This window comes from Homo sapiens, chromosome 12 (assembly GCF_000001405.40).
Source record: "Homo sapiens chromosome 12, GRCh38.p14 Primary Assembly".
NCBI classification, from domain to species: Eukaryota; Metazoa; Chordata; class Mammalia; order Primates; family Hominidae; genus Homo; species Homo sapiens.
The window spans coordinates 117,481,434-117,505,041 of record NC_000012.12 but is presented as its reverse complement, the minus strand read 5'-3'; the positions used below and the strand labels follow the sequence as shown (position 1 = coordinate 117,505,041).

Sequence of the window (23,608 nt, the reverse complement as noted above, 5' to 3'; positions counted from 1 at the left end):
TTATTAAGTAACTCAGGAATGGAAACCAAACACCATATATTCTCACTTACAAGTGGGAGCTAAGCTATGAATACGCAAAGGCATACAGAGTGATATAATAGGCTTTGGAGACTCGGAATGGGGAGAATGGGAGAAGGGAGTGTGGGATTAAAAACTACATATTGGGTACAACATACACTATTCAGATGACAGGTACACTAAAATCTCAGAATTTGTCACTGTATAATACATACATGCAACCAAAAACCACTTGTACCCCAAAAGCTACTGAAATTTTAACAAAGATTTTTTTAAAAGATTCTGGTGCTGGGTGGGCTGTTTGAACAGTCTGGCTGATCTTGACTCTTTTTGTATATACTGTGGCACCAGTCCCAGTCACCCCTTCCTACTAACCTTCCCAGAGCATGCAAAAGCACAAGAACCTTGGATATCCAGGTAGCTGGGCATTTGCTTGTTAAGATCCCCATATCTCCACCCTCCACACTTCATAGATAGAAGCTAGAGTGCCTATGGAATTTTTAAGGAGGCCTGAGAGGACAAGGTTACCTTGGTGAACATTGGGAAATAATTCTTTTAGTGCCCCGGAGTTAAGAGATTAAGGGAAAAAAGAATCCCAGATGAACTCAAGTGATGATTTTTGCTCATCTTTGAGAAATTGGCACAAACTTATATTTTGTCCCTGCACCTTCTAAATTGGGTTTTGGGGAATGACAGGACTTTCAATTGAAACAGATTACCAAGGTGAGACTTGGTGGCTAATGGAAATATTCGTAATAGGATTACATGGAGTTTTCATCTTTCCCATGAAGATGCAACATTGTCACATGACAACTTTTGGGGCACAGAACCCATGTTTTTAATCTCTCTGGACATTTATTTTCTGTTTTCAAATGATTGAGAGGTGAGGTCACAGCCCTAGAGTGGCTTGCTTTCTATCTGTGAGAAGTAGGAGAAAGCTATTAACAAAAAAATGAAATTGAATCTCACCAAGCACAGATTCCCATTTGCCTGTTGGTTTTTAAAATCATTGTGCTGCCCATTTATGTACAAATAGAGGTAAGTGTTTGTGGGCATTTGGAAAAGAACTACGTTTTTTCAACACAAAGGAAAATACAACTCCCATCCCAGAGTTTGCTTTCCCAAAATAGTGATGTTTATTATGGAAGTTTGATCCTAGCTGCAGTCTCTTATTTTTGCTGATTTTGCTGTTGTCCCTGTCTGTCTTCTTTTCTCATGGCCTCACTCACTTTGTATTTTGGGGTCTATCAATCAACCATAATTGTCAATATTGAGTGCTTTTAATGATCCAACCTCTTTGCATGTCCTTTTAGGTAGGAAGGGATAGGCTTGTGCTGCAATGACAAACAACCCTAAAATCTCTGTGAACATTTATTTCTCGCTACTCAGAACGTTTATTTCTCACTCATGTAAAGTTGGCTATAGGTTGGGCAATCCTCCAGGGCAGCTGTCTTCCATGCAGTCACTCAGGGATTCAGGCTGTTCTGATCTAGTGGGTCTGCATATCATCCTGGAGCCTCCTTGGTCGTGGGTGGCACAAGAAAAGAAAGTGGGGATTGAGCAATGCACTTTAAAATACCCCAACCAGGCCAATAAAAACATCCTACTTTTCACTGGCCAGGGCCAGTCACATATGCAACATAACTGCAAAGAGATTGGAAAGTGTAGTCTCCTGAGTGCCTAGGAGCAACAGGGAGGAAGATCTGATGAACACTGGTGTTGTCTGTACCACATGAATCTTCTAATTTAACCCTTCCAGACCTATGACATAGACTCTGGTCTGTCTACCTGCATTGATTTTTAAGCAACTTTCCCAAAAGCTCATAGGTAAAGAATATCAAAACTGGGTCTGAAACCTGGCTTTGACTTCAAATTCCAAGCTCCTAACCTCTAGGTGCTACTGTCTCCCCTAATAAGTTCTCTCCCCTCTCCACTCTCATTTCTGTTCCTCCTTCTCAAAGAAATGATTCCTGCCAGCACACTCCCCTGGCTTCAATTTTTCTCCATTCCTCTTGGGGTAATGAAATGATAGTTTGTTTTCCTCTCAGTGTCCGCCCCAATATCTTGCCCACCCAGGCCTCTTCAAATCTCCTAGGTCCTTCAAGTTCTATTTACAAAGCTTCGAGAGCAAAGAACACAAATGTTCTTTGTTGTCAGGCCAGCAGAGGCATGGGTTGTTGAAACTGGAAGAAGTTCCTTCCCTGGTTGACAAAGCTGTGAAATCAGGGTGTTTTATTTTTACCCATTGCCTGGCTCAGGGCTCCTCAGCAAAAGCAACAGGAAGTGAGTTGGGAATTTTGTAAACTTCCATTTGTTTTTTTCTTTTTTAAAACAACTTTATTGATATATAATGTATATACCCTAAAGTTTAGTCACTTAAAGCATACACAGTGTCAATAGTTTTTAGTATATTTACAAAATTTTGCCACTATCACCAAAATCTAATTTTAGAACATTTTCTCTCTCCTCAAAAAAACGGAATCGATTCGATACCCATTACCAGTCATTCCCCACTACCCTCCTCCCAACTTTCCCCACCCCTAGGCAACCTGAAGTTCTAATTTTAGACAAATAATTGATTTTCTTATTGGAGCATTTCAAAGTCCAGGGAAAATGCAGACCCAGAGTGCTTTCTGAGGGATGAGAAAGGCCAGTTCTGCAGTTGGCATGATGGAACCCATATTGCTGTCCCCAAGTCAGGTCACAAAAAAACATACAGATACATAGACATAGATGGGCACATAAATGCAAAGACCCCTACACACGTGAGTCCACATACATATGTACACACACATGCGCCTACAGTCATGCACATGCATGCATTGACATGTCTTTATGTGTGTTCATGTGTGCATAAATAGTCACAGACGCAGACATACACCTGCACTCAGAAACAAGAATGCCCATGTAAATACCTGTGTGCACAGACATATGTCACACTTGTGGCTTTTGATCCAGTTACAGTGATTCCTTGTGTGGTGACAGTGGGTCAGGTCATTTCCTCCCAATGGCCGTTTTGAAGTCAGTGGTCTGTAAGAAAGACATTCTAAAGCAATTTTGGATTTGTCTCACTTGGGTGAACATTTGTCCAGCTAATTTAATGTCCAGGAGCTGCCTGGGAAGGCTCTGTGAGGATGTGATATAGGAGTTTGGGCAGGGAATTAGGGAAAGGAAGAGGCAGAAAACATGGACTTGACATATGCTTCCACGTTTGAGTGATTGTGTGGCTGGGGCACGCCCCTCCCTGATGGGTGGCAGCGGGTAGTTCAGTCTGTCTCCACCTTGCGTAACACAGGCTTGCAGATAAGCTCCCTTATTTGGCTACATATGCACTGGCCCGAGTTCAAGTTCCTTCTCCCTCTTTAGCCCAACTCACTCCTAAGCAGAACCTTGTCCTTAGACCTATGACACTTGCTGGCTCTTTCTCATGTAATATGTGCCTGCCCACCAGACTCAGTATCCCCACACCTGGCACAGTGCCTGGCAGGGCTCTGGAAGTGTTAGCTCAGCACATGCATAGAGGCACAAATGGTTGACTGAGTGAGCAAGTGAATGAATGGAAAATCCACGTGACCTTAACCGCACCCCAATGCAGAGGAGAATGGCTGAAATTGAAGAAAGCCCTTCTAGTTTGAGTAGCCCAATTTCTGTTGGCTCCACCCTGATTTCTTAGAGCAGGGGTCAGCAAACCTTTTCTGTAAAGGGCTAGACAGTAAATATTTTCAGCTTTGCCATATGGGCTTTGTTACAACTCCTTAACTCTGCTATTTTAACATGAAAACAGCTGTAGACAATTTGCAGACAAAAAGTATGGCTGTCTTCCAATCAAACTTTACTATGAACACTGACATTTGAATTTCATATAATTTTCACATGGCACAAGATATTACTCTTCTTTTGAAATTGTTTCAACCATTTAAAGGAGTATCAAATCATTCTTAGCTAATGGGTCATGCAAAAAACAGGCTTTGGGCTACTTTTGGCCCGCGGGCCATAGTTTGCAACTCCCACCTCAGAAGCCTGATTCTACCAAGCCTCAGTATCTGCAGTCTTGCAAATTCTACACTCTGCAAACCCTTGACCTACAGCAGTCTGAATAGTGGGCTAGTTGGGCATGTTCTGGGGTGGCCCAGCGCTCGAGGCCTTCTCAGAAAAGGGGGAGGCAGTGGAAGGCCCAGGGGCTTTGGTCAAACTGGACCCAGCTCCTGCTGCATGTCCTGGCAGAGAGGATTACTGGGCAAGTCATTCAATCTCTTGAGCCACTACTTCCTCATTGGAGGGACGGGAGGATGAAAAGCTCCCCCTCAGGGCTCTTGTGTGGGTAGAATGAGTACAAGGCTTATCTCAGGAGCTTGGGAAACTTTGATTCCCTTGTTCCTCAGCCTCTGTTCCTTCCATTTCCAAAGAGGCCATATAGCTTAGTGGTTAGGAATAAGATGCTAGTATCAAATAGAATTAGGGTAGAATGCCAGTTCTGTCTCATATATCTTAGCTACATGACCTTGGCAAATGACCTGAACTCCTTGAGTCTCAGTTTCCCCATTTGTTGGATAGGAATAACACCTGTCTTATGGGGTTAGGTTAGGATTACAATCTATGGATATGATTTATGTAAAACCTTCAGCAGAGTCCTCGTGGTGAGGTTCAGAAATGCCACTTATTATTCTGAGAAGGCAGCATAGCTCTGTGTCTACAAGCATTGGGTTTAGCTTCAGACAAAGCTGGGTTGCAGCCAGCCTGTGTCACTCTAAACACAACCTTGGGAAATTCCATCCCCCTTCTGCATTCCGGTTTCTCCATCTCCCCTGTGAAAGGAGCAGATCCAGTAATTCCTAATGTTAGTCTACAACCTGAGTTCAAAACATTTCTATGCCTGTTTTCTCTTCTACACGTGATGTCTTACACCATGGCCAGGTAGGTTCCGTGCTCAGATAACTTCCCAGCCTCCCCTTCCTCTTACCTCCCTCCCCATCTCCTTATCTTCCCATCTCCTTCACCAAGCAACGGACCTGACCAACAGATCCAGGGTTGATTCAGCCCCAGTGGCAGAAGGGAGCAATGCCCCACACACTCCACCCCGGCTGACTGCCTTACACAGGCCCTCCTCCCAGTGTCCTCAGCCTCCCTTCCTGTGCCCTTTTGGGCTGTGGGGCCCATGGGTGGAAAGAACACAGCCATTTGAGGTGGAGGTTATGCCTACCACGCGTCTGCCTGCCCTTTTGTCTCTTATCAGCTACACAGTTATTAGAAAAAAAAAATTGAACAGTAAACTCTGTCTTCCTCATTAGGGACCAAACTTTCCTGAGCCAAGAGTGTTATTAGGTTTCTCTGTAATCACCAAGCATTTGTTGTGTGCCCACTTCCAAAGAGGACCAGAGTGGGCTAAACCCTGTGCAAAAGACAGAAGGAGCAAAAATGTTTCCTCTCCTCGCAGAGTAACAGCCAGAAAGTCTCTAAAGCAAGGCTGAGCTACTTGGAGTATGAATTTGGTTCAGACTCCACTTTCTCATTTCAGTTCCCCACCGATTCAATGTTTTCCAAACCGTCTACAGAATAAACATATGTGTCTGGTTTTACTCTAGTCAGAAGTCAGAGGTGCTTTTCTCATTTCTTCCTTTTTTCTCGATTTACAAAAGGAACATGCATTTATTGGAGGAAAAATTAGGAAAGAAAGATAAGCAGCAAGGGGAAAAAAAACCTTATAAAACCTCCTAATCCCAGTAGCCAGAGATAGCTCTGCTAACACCGTGGGGGCTATCCTCTCCCTGGATTTTTAATGCATATGAATTAGGTGATATATGTGTACAGTTTTTAAAACAGTAATTCAGGCTACTGTTGAGTTGAAAAATAAGTGTGGTTCTGGTGAGTCAACAAAAAGATCTCAGCGTTTTGATATCCTTTGATGTCTAGCCCTAGAGGGCAGGACCAGTGGTCTATTTGGTCTTTTTGCCCCTGTGGTACCTTGCTCATGGAAGAGGCTCAAAGTTCATTACTAATTTGAGCTGGGCTTGGCTCATGGTCTATTTCATGTGTTAAGACAGCAGGTAAAGGCGTATCTTAGTGTATTAGTCCATTTTCACACTGCTGATGAAGGCATACCTGAGACTAGGCAATTTACAAAAGAAAGAAATTTAATGGACTCACAGTTCCACATGGCTGGGGAGGCCTCACAATCATGGCAGAAGGTGAAAGACACATCTCACATGGCGGCAGACAAGAGAAGAAAACTTGCGCAGGGAAACTCCCCTTTATAAAGCCATCGGATCTTGTGAGACTTATTCACTATCACGAGAATGGCACAGGAAAGGCCTGTCCCCATGATTCAATTATCTCCCACTGGGTCCCTCCCACAACACATGGGGATTATGGGAGCTACAATTCAAGATGAGGTTTGGGTGGGGACACAGCCAAATCGTATCACTTGGCATGAAACACAGCCCTCCCGAGCTACAGGGGACACAGGATGCTTATCCCCAAGAAGACAAAGGATAGGAGTCATTCATTGCTCTGTTTATCCATGCACTCATTCCAAGAGCAGTTCCTCAGCCCCTCCCCTGGGCCAGTGTGGACAAGCATGCATCCAGCAGCTCTGAGACCTTCTAGCTCTAGCCACCTGCAGCCTGCTTTGCTTGTCTCTGGGTAGCAGCTGGGAATTCCCAAACAGAAGCAGCAAATGCATGATAAGGATTAACATGGCCCTGCCCTGAATTTGGGGGGTGGAAGGAAAGGCCTAGAGTTGGAATGGGGTAGTCTCAGCTGAGCTCAGTGAGCAAATGAGGGTTCAGAGGTCAGGCTCTCTGAATCTCCGGAGTCACCTGCTCTGCTAAGTCATCTTTTCCTGGCGAGCTTATGAAATCCTGAAAAGAGGTGAAGGTTTGAGTCCTGAACTCCAATCCTGACCCTGTTGCCTACTCACTGTAGGACCCTGGCGCAGGTAATCTTTACCTTCCTGCACATGAATTTCTTCATTTGTAAATCATGTCTCTCCTACTAGGGGAGATGGTGCGAGAAGTTCTCAGGACAGTGCCTTGCAGGAGAAAACTCCATCAACGGAGACCATCATCTTATCTCATTTAACCTGCAAGTACTGCTGAGTAGTGGGCATTAAAGTTGGACATAAAATCACACGCACTTGTGCAAAAGACAGAAGTGGCAAGATGCTTATTTCCTGCTCTCAAAAAATAACAGCTAGGGAGTCTCCAAAGCAAGGCTGAGCCCCTTGGAATATGAATTCGATTCAGACTGTACACCCCCACCTCAGAGGTTACAAAGCACTGTGAGTTCCAAAGCTTTTAGGTAACTTGCCAAAAATCACGTAGCCAGGAAGTGGCGGATTATCTCAGGTGGTTCTGATTCTAAAGTGTATGCTCCTAACTAGGCTGACTTATTGCGCCAGTCTCCTGGTCTGTACCCTCTTTAGAGAGTTATAAGAAGCATGTAATGAGGTGCTGCCCGGAAACCTTTTGCCTCTGTGCCTGGCATCCTGGTAGGCCCTCTAAAGATGGTCGTCATCCTAAACAGGATGATGATGCTGCCCTGCGTGGAGGGATTTGATAAGGAGTATTATGCTAGAAGTTGTCACAAGTTAATGAAGAGTCTTTGCCTTGAAAGAACACAATGTAGTGGGAAGGGGGCCCCTGCTGCCTCTCCTTAGGTACCTACCCTGGTGATCCTATTAATGGAAGCATCTAGCACCTAGTTTGTTTCTCTATTGCCCTAATTATAACTTGCAATTATTTTATTTGCATATTGTCTCCTCATGAGAATGTCAGCTCATTCGAGCAAAGAGTCAGCCCTTCTTGTCACCTGCACTCACCATCATTGTGACAATAAGGAAAACATCTTTGGCCTGGCACAGTGGCTCATGCCTATAATCCTAGCACTTCAGGAGGCCAAGGCAGGTGGATCACCTGAGGTCAGGAGTTTGAGACCAGCCTGGACAACATGGTGATACCCTGTCTCCACTAAAAATATAAAAATTAGCCAAGCATGGTGGTACACACCTGTACCACCATGTACAGGTGTGTACCACCATGTACAAGCTACTTGGGAGGCTGAGGCAGGAGAATCGCTTGAACCCGGGAGGCAGAGGTTTCAGTGAGCTGAGATTGTGCCACTGCACTGCAGCCTGGGCAACAGAGCGAGACTCTGTCTCAAAAAAAAAAAAAAATCTCTGTTCAGTGCTAGTATTTGATACCTTTCTAACTCTAACTTGCTAAACTAGTTTTGTTGTTTTGTTTTTTTTACAAAAAGAGAAGCCCTCAAACTTAGGGCCTTTGGCAGACCACAGTGCCAAACTAGGATTTCACTTTGTTTTTTAATATATGTTTGTTTTCATTGTATTTATTTTTACTCTTACCTGGGGCTAGGGATTCTAGCTTTCCATCTGGCAATGATAGAAGGTAATGACAGAAAGTATCTCTTTAAAATACACTGATTTTTCCCCCAAGGGCAGTACATTTAACAAAAGCTATTAAGTGATAAATAGGAGTTGGCTGATCTGGCAGATTCATATAAATACAAGTGGGCGGATCTTGAATGATTGCAATGTTAAAGATACTGAATGAGATGTGCAGCCCCATCGTTAGGAGATGCTGAGAAAATATGATGCAGGATTGGGGAAGAGCATGTCTCAGGGTGTCTTTGGACAGTGTCAGCAAAGGCAGGTCCCAGGCTGGACCCCACAATGTGACAAGAGGTAGAGGAATGCCAGGTTACCATTTCCCTGCAATTCTTCCTGGAGTGACCTGGAGGCTTACACCTCCAACTTGGCTGCCTGTGGGGTGGGAATACTCCCTCCCTATGAAGCCTAGACCAGAGAGGGCAGAAGGTCACCCAGATGCCCAGCAGCTTGGAGTCATACACAGTCTGGGGCAGAAGGGACAGCCCCTAATGGGCAGAACCCCACATCTCAGTCTTTGAAGAGCCCAGAGCAGCCAGACTCTGACCTCTTTTTTTTTTTTTTTTTTTTGAGACGGAGTCTCCCTCTGTTGCCAGGCTGGAGTGCCATGGTGCAATCTCGGCTCACTGCAACCTCTGCCTTCCAGGTTCAGGCAATTCTCCTGCCTCGGCCTCCTGAGTAGCTGGGACTACAGGCGCACACAACCACGCCTGGCTAATTTTTGTATTTTTAGTAGAGACAGGGTTTCACCATGTTGGCCAGGATGGTCTCGATCTCTTGACCTTGTGACCCCGCCCACCTTGGCCTCCCAAAGTTCTGGGATTACAGGTGTGAGCCACTGCGCCCGGCCGCCTCTGACCTCTTGACTTAGCAAAATCAGATTCAGTTCTGGGGAGAAGAACTCAGCAAGACAGAGAGTCTACGCTTCCTTTTTCCCTCCCCACTTCTGAGCTTTGCAGCAATATCAAAGGCTGAAGGAGGGGAGGGAGGGCCTGCATTAACAAAAGCTCAGTGCCCTCGTGGGCAGCTAGGCTCTGTCTTTGCATATTCTGATGCCTGGCAGGCCACTGTCATCTTTCTTGTCTGGCTAGGATGTGAGCCTTCCCCAGCCAGCCCCTTACTTAATGGAACTCTATAACTCTTCATTTCCTGGACACACGTTGAGTTAAGCAGGTGGCAGACAGCTGGCATTTCTCACTTGCTTTCTGGCATGTCCCATTTTTATAGGAAGCTAACCTGGCATTTTTTATTATAAAGCCCCAGAGTCCCAAGGTTTAATATCTTGAGTGTTAGATTCATGAGCAACTTGGAAGTTAGAGATTGCCGGAGGCTGGAATTTGATGGAGTGTGCGACCTGTAACTTGGAATGTGATTTATTTACTCAAGGGAGGGGGAAAGAGCATGGGACAATTAACTGGGATTTGAGTTTCAAGAAGTGGGGAATGCTTAAAAGGGAGTGAGCAGCAGAGGGGTTGTAAATCCCTCTGACAGCTCGAGTGTTTTTTGAAATAACAGCTGACTTTGAAACCAACTGCCTTGGGAGCTCAAGCCAGGCAGCGCCAGGGACTATTTGCACCCAGCTATCTATGTCTTTTATTTGGAAGGCAAACACCTGTAGAGAGTAGCCACTGGGAGACACTCTTTGGATTCCAGCCAGATGGCCTTTGCCGTGTTACTCAAGCATGCCACACGTTGTCCTACCTCAGGGCCTTTGCACTGGCTGGTTTCCCCAGCTTGGAGTTCTCTCCCCAGATTTCCACATGCCTGGCTTTTTTCTTCATTCAGCTCTCAGAATAAAGATTACCTCCCCAGAGTGGCTTTCCCTGGGCACCCTGGCTAAAGATGCCCCCAACTCCATCTACTCTCTATCCAATAAGTCTCTGCATTCTCTTTACAGCACTTGTATCTCTCTGAAGTCTCATTTATTTGTTTATTGCCTTCCTTCTCCACTAGACCTTCAGCTTGTAGGATTAAGGACTAGGTCTGTCGTGCATACAGTATCTCCTGCACCTAGAACACTGTGCCAGGACCATTCTGGCATCCATGTAGTGGATTTTGAACTTAAGAGATGACCTCTGGGCCTCCATAAAAGGAGAGTGGGCTTGAGCGGTGGTTCTCAAAGTGGGGTTCCCTGGACCCCCAGCATCAGCATTTTCTGGAAACTTGTTAGAAATGCAAATCAGAAACTCTATTTGCAGGTTAAAGGTGGTTGGGGTAGTGCCAGCCACCTTTGTTTTAACAAAGCTTCCCAGGAGATTCTAGTGCCTGCTCAGGTTTGTTAACCACTGGCCTAGTGTTTAAACACCTATGGGGTCTAGGTAGGTGTGTAAATGCAGGAAGTAGACCAGGTGTGGTACACTACAGAGTGGTGAGGACTGTGGCAAAGGAGACCGCAGGTGCAGACCCCCATAGAAGCTGTTATGTTTTATTGGTTGTCACTCCATGATGGGGATCTCACTCCCTGGAATACTGGAAGGGAAGGTCTGGCCATGGGAAGCAGCCTAAGGCACTGCATCCATTCATTCATTCGTGTGTTCAGCACCTGTAACATTAACCAGATAAACCCAGTCCCTGCCCGTATTAGTCCATTTTCACGCTGCTGACAAAGACCTACCGGAGACTGGGAAGAAAAAGAGGTTTAATTGGACTTACAGTTCCCTATGGCTGGGGAGGCCTCAGAATCATGGCAGGAGGTGACAGACACTTCTCACATGGCAGCAGCAAGAGAAAATGAGGAAGAAGCAAAAGCAGAAACCCCTGATAAACCCATTAGATCTCGTGAGACTTATTCCCTATCACGAGAATAGCACAGGAAAGACTCACCCCCATGATTCAATTACCTCCCCCTGGGCCCCTCCCACAACACATGGGAATTCTGAGAGATACAATTCAAGTTAAGATTTGGGTAGGGACACAGCCAAACCATGTAACTGTCCTCTTAAGGCTTACAGTCTGGAGGGGGAGACAGTTCGTCATCATAGGCTCCAGGCAACACCTGTTCAATTACAACCTCAGCAGGTGTTGCAAAGGTGGAGTCCACAGTGCTTCAGGGACCTATTGGGGGGAGTGACCTAGTTGGAGAGGCCATGGGAGGCTTTTGAGGCAAGTGGGAAAAGCATTGCAGGCCAAGGAAATGGCAGAGGCAAAGGCTCGGAGATGGGCTGGTGTGATTGGAACTCCGTGAATGACAGGGAGAGTCATATGAGAAGAGGGAAAATGGTGTGTGTGAGCCAGACTATATGGGACCTCCAGGCACTGGGAGACTCTCTATCCAGAGAGTGCTGGGGAGTCATTGTAGCAGTGGAGTGACCTGATCAATTGTGCATTTTGAAGCAATCGCTCATAGTACTGGACGAAGAATGAACTGGGGAAGCCAGAGAGACAGTGAGGAACAGTTGTCGTCATTCAGGAAGAAGAATATTATTAGCAATAATATTCATGGTAATATTATTAGTGATAATATGAGCAGCTGGTGAAGGAGTAAACGCTTTAGCTGGACACTGGATGAAGCGCTTGTGTGCTTTCATCTCAACCTCCCATCTGCTCACGAGGCAGCACTTACTGCCCCACTGTCTTAGTGGCTTGAAACAACAAACAACAAGAACATGGTTCTGAAAGTCAGAAGTCCAAAGTGGGTCTCATGGAGCTAAAATCAGGATGTTGGCAGGGCTGTGCTCCTTCTAGAGATTCTAGGGGAGAATCCATTTTCTTGCCTTTTTCCAGCTTTTTAGAGGCTGCCTGCATTCCTTGGCTCGTGCCCCCTTCTCCATCTTCAAAGTCAGCGATGGTGGGTTGAGTCCTTCTCCCCCATCACAACCATTCAGCCCCCTCTTCTATCACATCTCCTTCTGCCTCTCTCTTTTGTCTCCCCCTTTGCTTTTGAAGACCCTGCGATTACATCCATCTGGCCCGCCTGGCTAATCCAGGATAATCTGTCTATCTCAAGAGTATGACTCAATCACATCTGCAAAGTCTCCTTTGCCATGTAGGGTAAATTTTCACCAGTTCCAGGGATTAGGATGTGGACATCTTTGGAGCCATTATTCAGTTCACCACACTCCTGGTTATAGAGGCAGAGCCTGTGCCCCCATGAGATGCAGTGTGCCCCAAGGTCGTGGGGGCTTCAGGTGACAGAGCTGGGCTGGGAGCCAGGGTGTCAGTCCTCAGAGGTGGCTGCTCCCAGAAAAAGCCCCTGCTCCCCACCTGGGCTTGGTGCTGAAGCGTTTGGAGGAGGGAAAGGACATGGCTGCCACAGGCATTCAGACTTCTGTCCCAGTCACTGTTTTGGCAGAATGAGCCAGTCTGGACAGAGGCCCTCAGAGACAAACCTTCTAGATGATTTTATCTCATTGTTTCTGACAAGCCCCTTTTAGGTTGGTTTATAATAAACATCTTGTACCCACAGTGCCATCTTAGCCAAAGGCTCTCTGTGTCACCTGAGATAGGGACTCAAAGGGCAGCCTTGAGGGTACTGCCTGAGGCCAGGCTGGGAGAGGTGGGGTAGCCTGCAGATAAGATGGAGAATTCCCAGGCCTTGCCCCTCTTCTTGGAGAAAGATGATTTTTGGTGTACAGAAATACCGAGAGGTGCATGTGTGCATGTGCACTAGAAGCTAGAGAGATACTAAATACACTATTGAGCCACTAAAACACTTTCTGCTGACCTCCAGATGGACTGTACTACCAGCAGACCTCGTTAATCTTCATTGCCGTAGGCGATGGGGATAGTGACATTACAGCTACCACTTTCTGAGGGCTTATGACATGCCAGAGACTCAGAGAAAGTTGTTAAGAAGCAAAAGATGGATTTTAAGAACATAGCCTCCAGATCCAGGTGGCCTGCATTCAAACCCCAGTTCCTGCAATTCCACGATTGGGTATTTATCCAGAGGAACGGAAATCAGCATGTCGAAGAGAGATCTGTGCTCCCCCGGTTCATTGTAGCACTCTTCACAATAGCCAAGATATGGAATCAACTCGAATCCATCAACAGATGAATGGATCAAGAAAATGTGGCATATAAATGCGGCGGAGTATTATTCAGCCTTAAAAAAAGAAGGAAATCCTATCGTGTGTGACAACATGAATGAACCTAGAGGACATTATGCTAAGTGAAAAAAGGCAGGCATAAAAAGACAAATACCAGCCAGGGGCAGTGGCTCAGGCCTGTAATCCCAGCACTTTGGGAGGCCGAGATGGGGGCATCACCTGAGGTCAGGAGTTCAAGACCAGCCTGGCCAACATGGTGAAACCCCATCTCTACTAAAAATATAAAAATTAGCCAGGCGTGGTGGTAGGCACCTGTAATCCCAGCTACTCAGGAGGCTGAGACAAGAGAATTACTTGAACCCGGGAGGCAGAGGTTGCAGTGAGCTGAGATGGCGCCACTGCACTCCAGCCTGGGTGACACAGTGAGACTCCATCTCAAAATAAATATATTAATTAAAAGACAAATACCACATGATCTCACTTATATGTGGAATCTAAAAAAGTCAGTCATAGAAATTGAGTAGAATGGTGGTTACCAGAGGCTGGGGAGTATGGGGAGTGGAGAGACTTTGATCAAAGGCCACAGAACTTCATTTAGACAGGAGGAATAAGTTCAAGAGATCTATTGAACATCATGGTGATTATAATCAATAACAATAGGTTATATACTTGAAAATTGCTGAGGGAGTAGATTTTAAGTGTTCTCACCGCACACAAAAAAATGTGAGATAAATACAATAGCTTGATTTAGCCATTCCATATGTATACATATATCAAAACATCATGTGCTACACAATAAATATGTACAATTTTTACACGTTAAATTCATCCCCGCTCTACTTAACCCCTGAGCCTCAATTTTGTCATCTATAAAATGAGATTGATACCATGCTTCATTAAATCATTGAAGATACCTTCAATTAGAATATTCACCATTTAGGCTGGGTGCAGCGGCTCATGTCTGTAATCCCAGCACTTTGGGAGACTGAGACAGGAGGATCACTTTAGCCCAGGAGTTTGAGACCAGCCCGGACAACATAGTGAGACCCCATCTCAAAGAAAAGAATATTCACCATTTATTTTATGGGCTACAAAGAAAGAAATGTAGTGCCAATGAAACTATGATCTGTCAATGATTGCAGGACACATTCTGATTTTAGAGATGTGCATCTTTGGAATCAACGAGATACAGCAAGAATACCCACTTTGTAAGACTCTTATCCTTAGGCTAGTGTCTGGCACATAGAATGTGCCCAGGACATGTCAGCCTGTATTGTTTCTGCTGTGCCCATTTTACAGACATGGAAACTGAGGTTGAAGTCATTTCTGAAGGTCACCCAGCAAGTAGTGAATGCTGGAGTCGGGATTTGGACTCAGTTTGTGCTCCTCTGTTCCCTTAGCTGTGATATCTAATTAATGGCTCAAGAATCATGTCTGATAACTGGGCACCCACACAGTGGAGGAGAAGATAGGAAGAAGATCGGGAATGGGTTCCCATCAAGGCTATGCATCCACGAGCTGGTCCTCTAGGTGTCCATATCCTCACCCATAAAATAGATATAATAGGGTTTGCTATTATATATATAGGGGTTGCAGCATTGCTAGAAGGAATCATGGAGGTGATATAGGTCCTAAGCACATACTCAGTAAACTTTCATCCTCTTCTCCCTTCCTTTCCCCACATCCCACACTGCGAGTGGCTTTTAGGCCACCATTATTAGTCATGAGGAATTCCAAGCTCAGAGCAGTTGCTGTGGACACTTGGACTGACTTGCCGGGGCCGCCCTAGCCTCAGTCATCCTGGACATCTGCCTGAGGCCTGCTCATCTTTAAAGCTCAGCTTTCATCTTGAACTTGTCTCCAGCTTTGTTCCTGATAAACATCCAGGTGGGCACAGCCAGGCCTGGAGCCCCAAATTCCTCTGTAGACATTGCCCATCTGCAAATACTCTTCACTGGGTAAAGACTTTAGAAAAGGATACCTTGGGTATCAGTGCCGCTTTACATTTTTTACAGATTTCAACGCCATACATTAATTATATTAATTGTTAATTCTTTCCCTGCTTACTTTTTTTTTTTTTTTTTTTGAGACAGGGTCTCACTCTGTGTCACCCAGGCTGGATTGTGGTGGTGTAATCTCCATGCACTGCAGCCTCTGCCTCCTGGACTCAAGAGATCCTCCCTCCTCAGCCTCCCAAATAGCTGGGACTACAGGCATGTGCCACTACACACAGCTAGTTTTTTTGTGTATCCTTTGTAGAATTGGGGTCTTGCCATGTTGCCCAGGCTCTGACTTTTTAAAACATTTTTTGGAAGGATAACGTACCTTCAAAATTATCCAGATCATAAAAGAACAGCCCAATGAGTTTCCACTAAGTATGTATCCATGTAACCAGCGCCCAAATCAAAACACAGAACACTGCCTTCCCCCAGCCCCCTAATAATGCTCCTTCCAGCACCCCCGCCCACCACACACACACACACACAAGGGCCATCACTGTGCCGACTTTCAGCATGTAGGTCAGTTTCATTTGCTTATGCACTTTATATAAATGGAGTAGTCTTGGGTGTCAGGCTTCCTTCACTCAACATTATGTTGGTGAGCTTTATCCATGCTTTTTGCAGTTAGCAGTAGCTTGGTTATTTTTATATAGTACAGCATGAACATATTTTGTTATAAGTATATATCATATTTTATCCACTTTTCTGTTGACGAACATTTGGGTTGCGTCTTAGTTTGGACTACCGTGACACGGTACTGCAGACTGAGTGGCTTAGAAACAACAGAAATTGAGCCTGTAGTCCCAGCTACTTGGGAGGCTGAGGCAGGAGAATCACTTGAACCCAGGAGTCAGAGGTTGCAGTGAGCCAACATTGCGCCACTGCACTCCAGCCTGGATGACAGAGCGAGACTCTATCTCAAAAAAAAAAAAAAGAAAAAAGAAATTTATTTCTCACAGTTCCAAAGGCTGAAAAGTCAAAGATCCAGTGCTAGCATGGGCAGATTCTGGGGAGGGCCGTCTTCCAGACTTTTGACTTCTCCTTATATCCTCATATGGCAAGGAAACAGCAAGAGAACTAGCTGGAGTCCCTTTTAAAGGAGCACTAATCCCATTCATGAGGCTCCGCTCTCATGACTTAATTATCTTCCAAAGCCTCACCTCCTAATACCATCACGTTGGGATTAGGATTTCAACATACGGAATTGGGGACACAAACATTCAATCCATTGCAGGTTGGTTCTAGTTTGGGATTTCAACAGATAGGTTGCTTTAACATTCTAGTGCATGTGTAGGGGTGAATATGAGAATTCATATCTGTTGGGTACTTACTTAGAGGAAGAATCGCTGGTTGTGGATTTGTATTAGTCCGTTTTCACGCTGCTAATAAAGACCTACCGGAGACTGGGTAATTTATAAAGGAAAGAGGTTTTATGGACTCACAGTTCCACATGGCTGGAGAGGCCTCACAATTATGATGGGAGGCAAAGGGGAAACAAAGGCACGTCTTACATGGTGGCAAGCAAGAGCGCTTGTGCAGGGGAACTCCCCTTTATAAAACCATCAGATCTCATGAGACTTATTCAATACCAGGAGAACAGTATGGGGGAAACTGCCCCCATAATTCAATTATCTCCACCTGGCCCTGATCTTGACACTTGGGGATTATTACAATTCAAGGTGAGATTTGGGTGGGGACACAGCCAAACCATATCAGGGTTATTTGTATGTATATTTCACTTTAGTAGCTGTGCCAAACTGGTGCGGTAGTTTCTCCAGAAGCTCTTGAGGTCATACGGGAGTGAGAGAAGCAAAGACTTCAGCAGCTGCTGAAGGGAAAGAGGTTGTAAGGAGGGAAAGAAGACAAGGCGTGGAAATCTGAAGCTTGAGACTTTCCTGCAGTTACCCTGAGCAGGAGAGTCCAGGGAGTCTTGGAGCCTGTTGGCGGTGATTTGCTCTGCGGTCTGCAGTGGGGAGGGTATTTTCTGGGATCTGGCCTGTGATGAGTGTAGGTGGCTGTTCAGGAACTAAGTACCCAGGGGAGGGACTCTGCCCACAGTCTCAAATATTGAAATGTCAACATGGAGTAATTGGCTGCTCTGCCCACCCTTCCTCCACCTCTGCTCCAGCAGCCACAGCAAATGCCCTGCCTGGGACAGCAACCTGGGGGATGCAGGGTCAGCCCTGACTCATTCTGGGCTGCCTCCTGCCAACTGGCTGGGTGACCTCCTCAGACATGTGAATCAGACTTTCTGTGAGTCAGCTACCCGGGGACTGTCGCCTTAAGCAGATGAAGAAAAAAATGTTAGTCAAAGATCATGGGTGGCTATCAGTGGCATTTTAGATTAGTATACGGATGGGTGGACAGATAAACAGTTGTGATATGTGTATAGATATATCACTTATATATATTTGTACAAGTGTATGTGTGTCTGTTTACTATTTTATTAATCACTTAACAACTTTTTATAATAGCCAGTGATCTCATGGAAAGTTACCATGAAATGTACTAGGCATAGAGAGGTGCCTACACCTTTACATGCCTGATTTCATGTGGTTCTCCTGACAACCCAGAAAGGCAGCAGCTGTTGGCCCCATTTTGCAGATAATAAAACTGAAGCTCAGAGAGGTTAATGCACCCACCCAAGGTCACACAGCCACTAAATGACAGATCAGGATTCTAACCCGTTAGTCCTACTCTAAGCCCCCATGCTCCTAACCACTGTGCTATACTTCCCACTGGATGCCAAGGCCTGTTTCCAACTCTTTTATCTCATTCAATCCTCGTATTCAACTACAGGGTTAAGTATTATTAGTTTCCTTTGATCGATGAGGAAACTGAGGCCCAGAGAGGTGAGGTAACCCACCTCAAGACATACAGTAAGTAAGGAGCAGAGCTGGGATTCTGAGATCCCTCTGATGCCAGCGCTCTTGCTTCAACCACAGGAAATACAATCTCAGCAAAGCCCAGTACACAACAAGGGCTCAGTAAACACCAAATGAATGAACACAATGCCAGGAGTATTTTAGCAATAACATCACAGGTTAAAAGAGGAAAATTCAAACTGTGATTTTGATGTAGATGGAAAATTAATTTTCACAGTGACGTTCTTTCTTCTTTTGGCCCACATTGGATACTCTGAGCCAGTCACGGTGCTAGGGGCTGGGAGTGCTATGATGAATCTAGAATTCATTCATTCAGTGACAGCTTGTGGGTGCCTGCTCTGTGCGTGCTGGGAATTGTGCTCACTGCGGAGGAACAGGACAGATGAGCATACAGGCAACTAAATGAGAAGGTGTTACTTTCAGTGCATAATGTCCTTTTTCATCCTGTCATTCATCTTAAACTACTGGTCCTCGAAATGAACTCAATGAGGCTGAACATAGTTTGAAAAACTCTTTATCTAGACAGGCGTCTGGTTTGGGGGTGGTATTACTGGTGTTTACACATCCCTGTCCAAACAATTGACTGCATCGTTTGCTGATGATACTTAATACACATCAGCCACCACTCTGCTGGTCTTTCATCACTGTCCTCACACACTGACTCCTGGTAAGTGCATGCAGCTGGTGTGAATGGCCAACAGAATGCTGTCTGAGTGGCGTCTGAGGACCCAGAAGTTTTTGATTTATGTGCTGCTTTCCACCTGTGAGCCTCTGGGATGGATTGGACATGGCAAACCCATTTCTGGACTAGGCTAGATTCTGTGGGTGTCCTTGTCGGTCAGCCACATTGGCCAAGTTTCTAAAGAATCTGCAAGAACTTCCTCCCAGATCTCCATCCCAGAACCAGATCTGAAGTCCAGTCCCAGACTTATTATCTCATAAGCACAATAGTGGCATGTCCACGTGTCTATGCCATCATTTGTCACTTGTAGTAACTGTTGTGGGTCACCTTCTTCTGAACGACTGCCATTAATTTATCTTGTCCTTTTGCTTTTCAGCCTCTGTAAGGGACGGACGCTCTATTCCGTTGTGAGGGATGCCAAAATCGTTTTGGATGTCAACAAAACCAGGCAGATTGCTCAAGAAATTGTGAAGGTACTGTCGGCTCTTGGGCCTCCTATCTAAATCTCAGAAAGACCCAGTTTCCCCCAGGGAAGCCCCCCTACCCCAGGGCTCCTAAGATTCATGGTTGGATTTCAGACTACCAATCTGGACTTAAAAGAAATTAGACTTGACCTGAAAAATGCCAGGCCATGTATAAGTAAGAATTCTGCCTCGATACGATCTTTAGGAACTATCCACCAATGTTTGGTTTCCATCTGGTGTCTCATCACTATGGTACTTGGACCTATGCAAGGACCAGGGGTCACATACAAGCTATTCAGCCCTCTTGGTTAGGATCCACCATCCTTCGAGTCCTTGAATTTCCATGAGTGGAAACCATCTCTCTCCACTGCTGCTAGGGAAACATCAAATTGTTGGGTGTTGTTTTGGATTAAAACAAACAAGAACATTCTGTGTTTTCTGGAAGGGGCCTTATTAGTCAGTTGTACTCAAGCTTTTATTTCTCATTTGGAGGTGTTAGGACTGAGCTGCATGAGGAAATAAAAGATGTGACTGCTCACAAAGGCAATAAAAAAGAAACCACCACAACTCTAGATGTTTGCCCTTGAACGAGGCCTCCAATAGACTCTTCTGTGTGTTCTTAATGAGCAGTTGTGAACATCTCTTTAGGAACTCATTGCCTTCTGCGGCAGCATAGGTTAAGTAGATCTGACTATCTAGTCTTGCGGAAGAGTTAGTATTTAAAGGGGAAGTGGATGAAAATGGTTGGTTGAATTCCTTTCCCTGGGGATCTTTTTGTTTCTTCTTCAGGAATCAGATGAGCAAATGGGGCTGGCCTTTCTGTGGTCTAAGAGTGGCAGTGGATTTGTGTCTTGGGGGCCCTGCCTGTTCCCGCTTGCCATGCCTTCCCCGACCTCACCCCCAGGACCCACGGTCAGACCCCAGGCCCTGCCTCTGTTGAGTGTGGTCCCATTAGGGAGCCAAGTCTTCAGGACAAGGAATGTGAACTCAAGCCAGGGTGGCAGCAAGCTCTTAGGTTTTTCTCTGGCAACTCTCTGTTCCTTGCTTCTTGCAGGGCATGGGCTACCTCCACGCCAAGGGAATCCTACACAAGGACCTCAAGTCAAAGAACGTCTTCTATGACAACGGCAAAGTGGTCATCACGGACTTTGGACTCTTCAGCATTTCTGGGGTGCTGCAGGCTGGCAGGTGAGAGGCAGTGGGAAGACCCGGAGAGTTTCCTGACAGATGATGGTCAGGAGGTGGGAAGTTAGTCCAAATGGCTTTAGTGACCTAGACTCAGGGTTGGTCCTGAGGTTGCTGAGCTGAGTGGGGCAGCTGCTCTACTGATGTGGGATGCCAAGGCCCTGCTCTGTTTCCCCCTGGGGGGGCCAGCACCTTGCTCACCTGTCTTGTCTTTGAGTGTGTGTGATTGGACACAGAGCACCCCCAGACCTTTCAAAGCCCCTACCCTTTAATTTAACTGGAGGACTCTCCTCTAACCCTAAGTAATTCACTTGGAAGTTGAGATCACCCAAGAGGCCTTGCTCAAAGTTTTCTTAGGAATTAAGTGATTTTAGTACAGGAAGAGTACAGTTAACAGCAAGAGATTTAAAGTCAGAGGCACCCATGGCCTGACACAGCTCTTCCACTTATTAAATGCGACTTTAATCAAGCCGAACAACGTCTCTGAACTTTAGTTTCCTTGTCTGCAAGAAAAGTGGTAGGTTTGTTGATGCCTTCCTCTGTCAGTTCTCGTGAGGATAAAATGAGAACACGCATCAAGCATCCACCCAGTGCCCAATGCACCTCAAAAGCTCCGCAAAGGGTAGCTGCTGCTGAGTTGTAGCAATTAGTATTAATTTGCATATACCTCCCAGTATCACCCAGGAGAATCATTAACCATCATTAAGTAATTAACTCTCAGCCACTACTCACCCTAGAGCAAGCCGCATTGAGTTGGCCACATGAGAAACAGCTTGATCTCAAATAAACAACCCATAATTCAGAAAGTCTACCCTTGTGACTTTTAATTTGGACTGCACTCTCTCTCCTTCTCTCTCTCTTGCTGTCTCTCTCTCGCTCTCTCTCTCTCTCTCATTTTAAACCTCTGCATGTTTTTTATAATCCTGCATTTTATAACGAATGGTGCATCTTTCCAGAAAGCCCCACAGTTTCTCTCATTTTACTTCAGTTTCAGCTGCTTTTGAGAACCACTGATTTTTTTTTATTTTATTTATTTATTTTTTTATTTTTTTGAGGAATGCCCCAGGAACCCGGACAAAGTGAATCTTGTTTGTGTTATATGACACCTTGAATCTGTTATAAGTTGGACCATTTGGAGTTTGACAAAACTTCATGTAGCTGTTTCTGTGTGATGAGGACCAAACAGGCGCTTGTTTCTTTTTCAGATTTTGCTCCACCCAAGAAAGATTAACCATAGTCTACAAAATTATTTGTAGTCCCTAAGATAAGGCAGTAAGTAGGCAGTAAATATATAAATATATTAATAGATACTTGAAGAGAGTCCCTCCAGTTGGAACCCAAGAAGCCCGGGAGGGCAAGACTGTGTAGAATCCCTTCTTCCCTCTGACTCCCCAGCAGCAGTTAAGTTCCTGGTTCACTGGCAGGGAACTCATACCCTTCCCAGTTTCCCAGTGTCCCAAGGGAACTGCAAGGACGCAATGTTGGGTGACTTCACTGTCAACCCAAGTATTTGCATCAAGACAAAAGGAGGCCCAGTAAGAGTTTTCTCTAACTTGCTTCTGGGCTGTTTTATAAAAAGCAGAAATTCTTCCCTCCTGGTGGCATGTCCATACCTCTCTCTTTCTCCTCAACAGTGGCTTGTCCCTGAGGTGGAGGAAAGGGGTGCAGGACCTCTGATTTTCTTCCTTTAGACTCAGTTTTCTGAAGCCACAAGGAGAAGAGGAAGAAAAAGAAATGGAATGCCTTGGGCATCCCTTCCTTTAGCTCATTCATGGAGACCCATTGTCAACCAGGAAGTTAGTTCAACCAAGTCAAGGGCAAGGTGGCTTCTGGTCTCCTTGTCCAGAGAGCAGCCCCTCCCACCCCTGCCCCAGCCAGGTTGTCAACACAAACCCAGGGAGTGCCTTCAGCAACATCTCCCAACAAGAAATTCACATTTCCTGGCCACCCACAAGTAGCCATCAATGACTTCTTGTGCTTTTATCCTTTATTCTGCAATGAACCATCTCAAAACTTAGTGGCTTAAAACAAGGTATTGTCATCCCTCATAGTTCTGTGGGTTGACTGGGCTCAGCTGAGCTCTTGTGCTCGGTTTGTCCTGTAGGTGCAATCAGATGGCGGGGAGGGGGTGAAGTTGGAGACATCTGAAGGCTTCCACATTCACACAGCTGGGCTGGGCTGGCTGAAACATCTGGGGGGCTGATGGGGTCTCTCTCATCTCCCTGCTTTTCCCTCTTCATGCAGCCTCTCTGCTTGACTACATTGGGCTTCCTCACACCATGGCAGTCTCAGGGTAGTCAAACTTCTTATGTAGCAACTGGGCTCCACCAAAGCAAGTGCGTTGCAAACTATGACAGGGAGGTGGAACTCTGGGGTGTCCCATGAATCCCAGGACCTTTCCCAGGTTGTAGATTTACCTCAATATTTATGAATACCACCAGTGTAGCTCTAGGGATCCACAGGGTCCCCTCAGGGGTTCAGGTCCATTTACTCCCTCTTGTTCATGACAAGGCATCTTCAGTAACTGCCCCCATTGCAGCCTGGAGCCCCTAGTGCAGCCGCCAGAGGCCAGGAGACACCCCTTGAATAAGGGGCATCTATGGCCCTGATCAGCAACCTGGGGGCTGGATTATAGGAGTGGAGAGAGAAGGGAGCTGGCCAGGCTTTGGGCTTTGCAGGAAGCAGGGCCAGTATCTCTCAGGAGATAGGCCTGGAAGTTCCCTCATTCATTACTCACTCAGCCAGTCAGCAAATAATTAGGGAGTGCATGTATTAGTCAGCTTGGGCTGCTATAACACAATACCAGACTCAGGGGTTTAAACAACAGACATTTATTTTCTTACAGTTCTGGAGGCTGAAAGTCCAAAATCAAGGTGCTGGCAAATTTAGTGTCTAGTGAGGGCTCTCTTCCCAGCTTGTAGATGGCCACCTTCTTACTGTGTCCTCATATGGCCTCTTCTCTGTGCACCGAAAGAGAGAGAGAGA

At 45.7% G+C, this 23,608-nt stretch overlaps 1 protein-coding gene across 5 annotated transcripts in view; it reads left to right on the top strand.

Moving 5' to 3' along the window:
- Window positions 1–23,608, top strand: part of KSR2 (kinase suppressor of ras 2) — a 515,979-nt gene that overhangs the window by 463,949 nt on the left and 28,422 nt on the right. For all 5 annotated transcript variants that reach the window (XM_011538224.4, NM_173598.6, XM_011538225.4 and 2 more), the window contains 2 exons: window positions 19,351–19,447; window positions 20,493–20,626. In XM_011538224.4, the coding sequence (XP_011536526.1) occupies window positions 19,351–19,447; window positions 20,493–20,626 (231 nt within the window). The remainder of the gene's footprint in view (window positions 1–19,350; window positions 19,448–20,492; window positions 20,627–23,608) is intronic.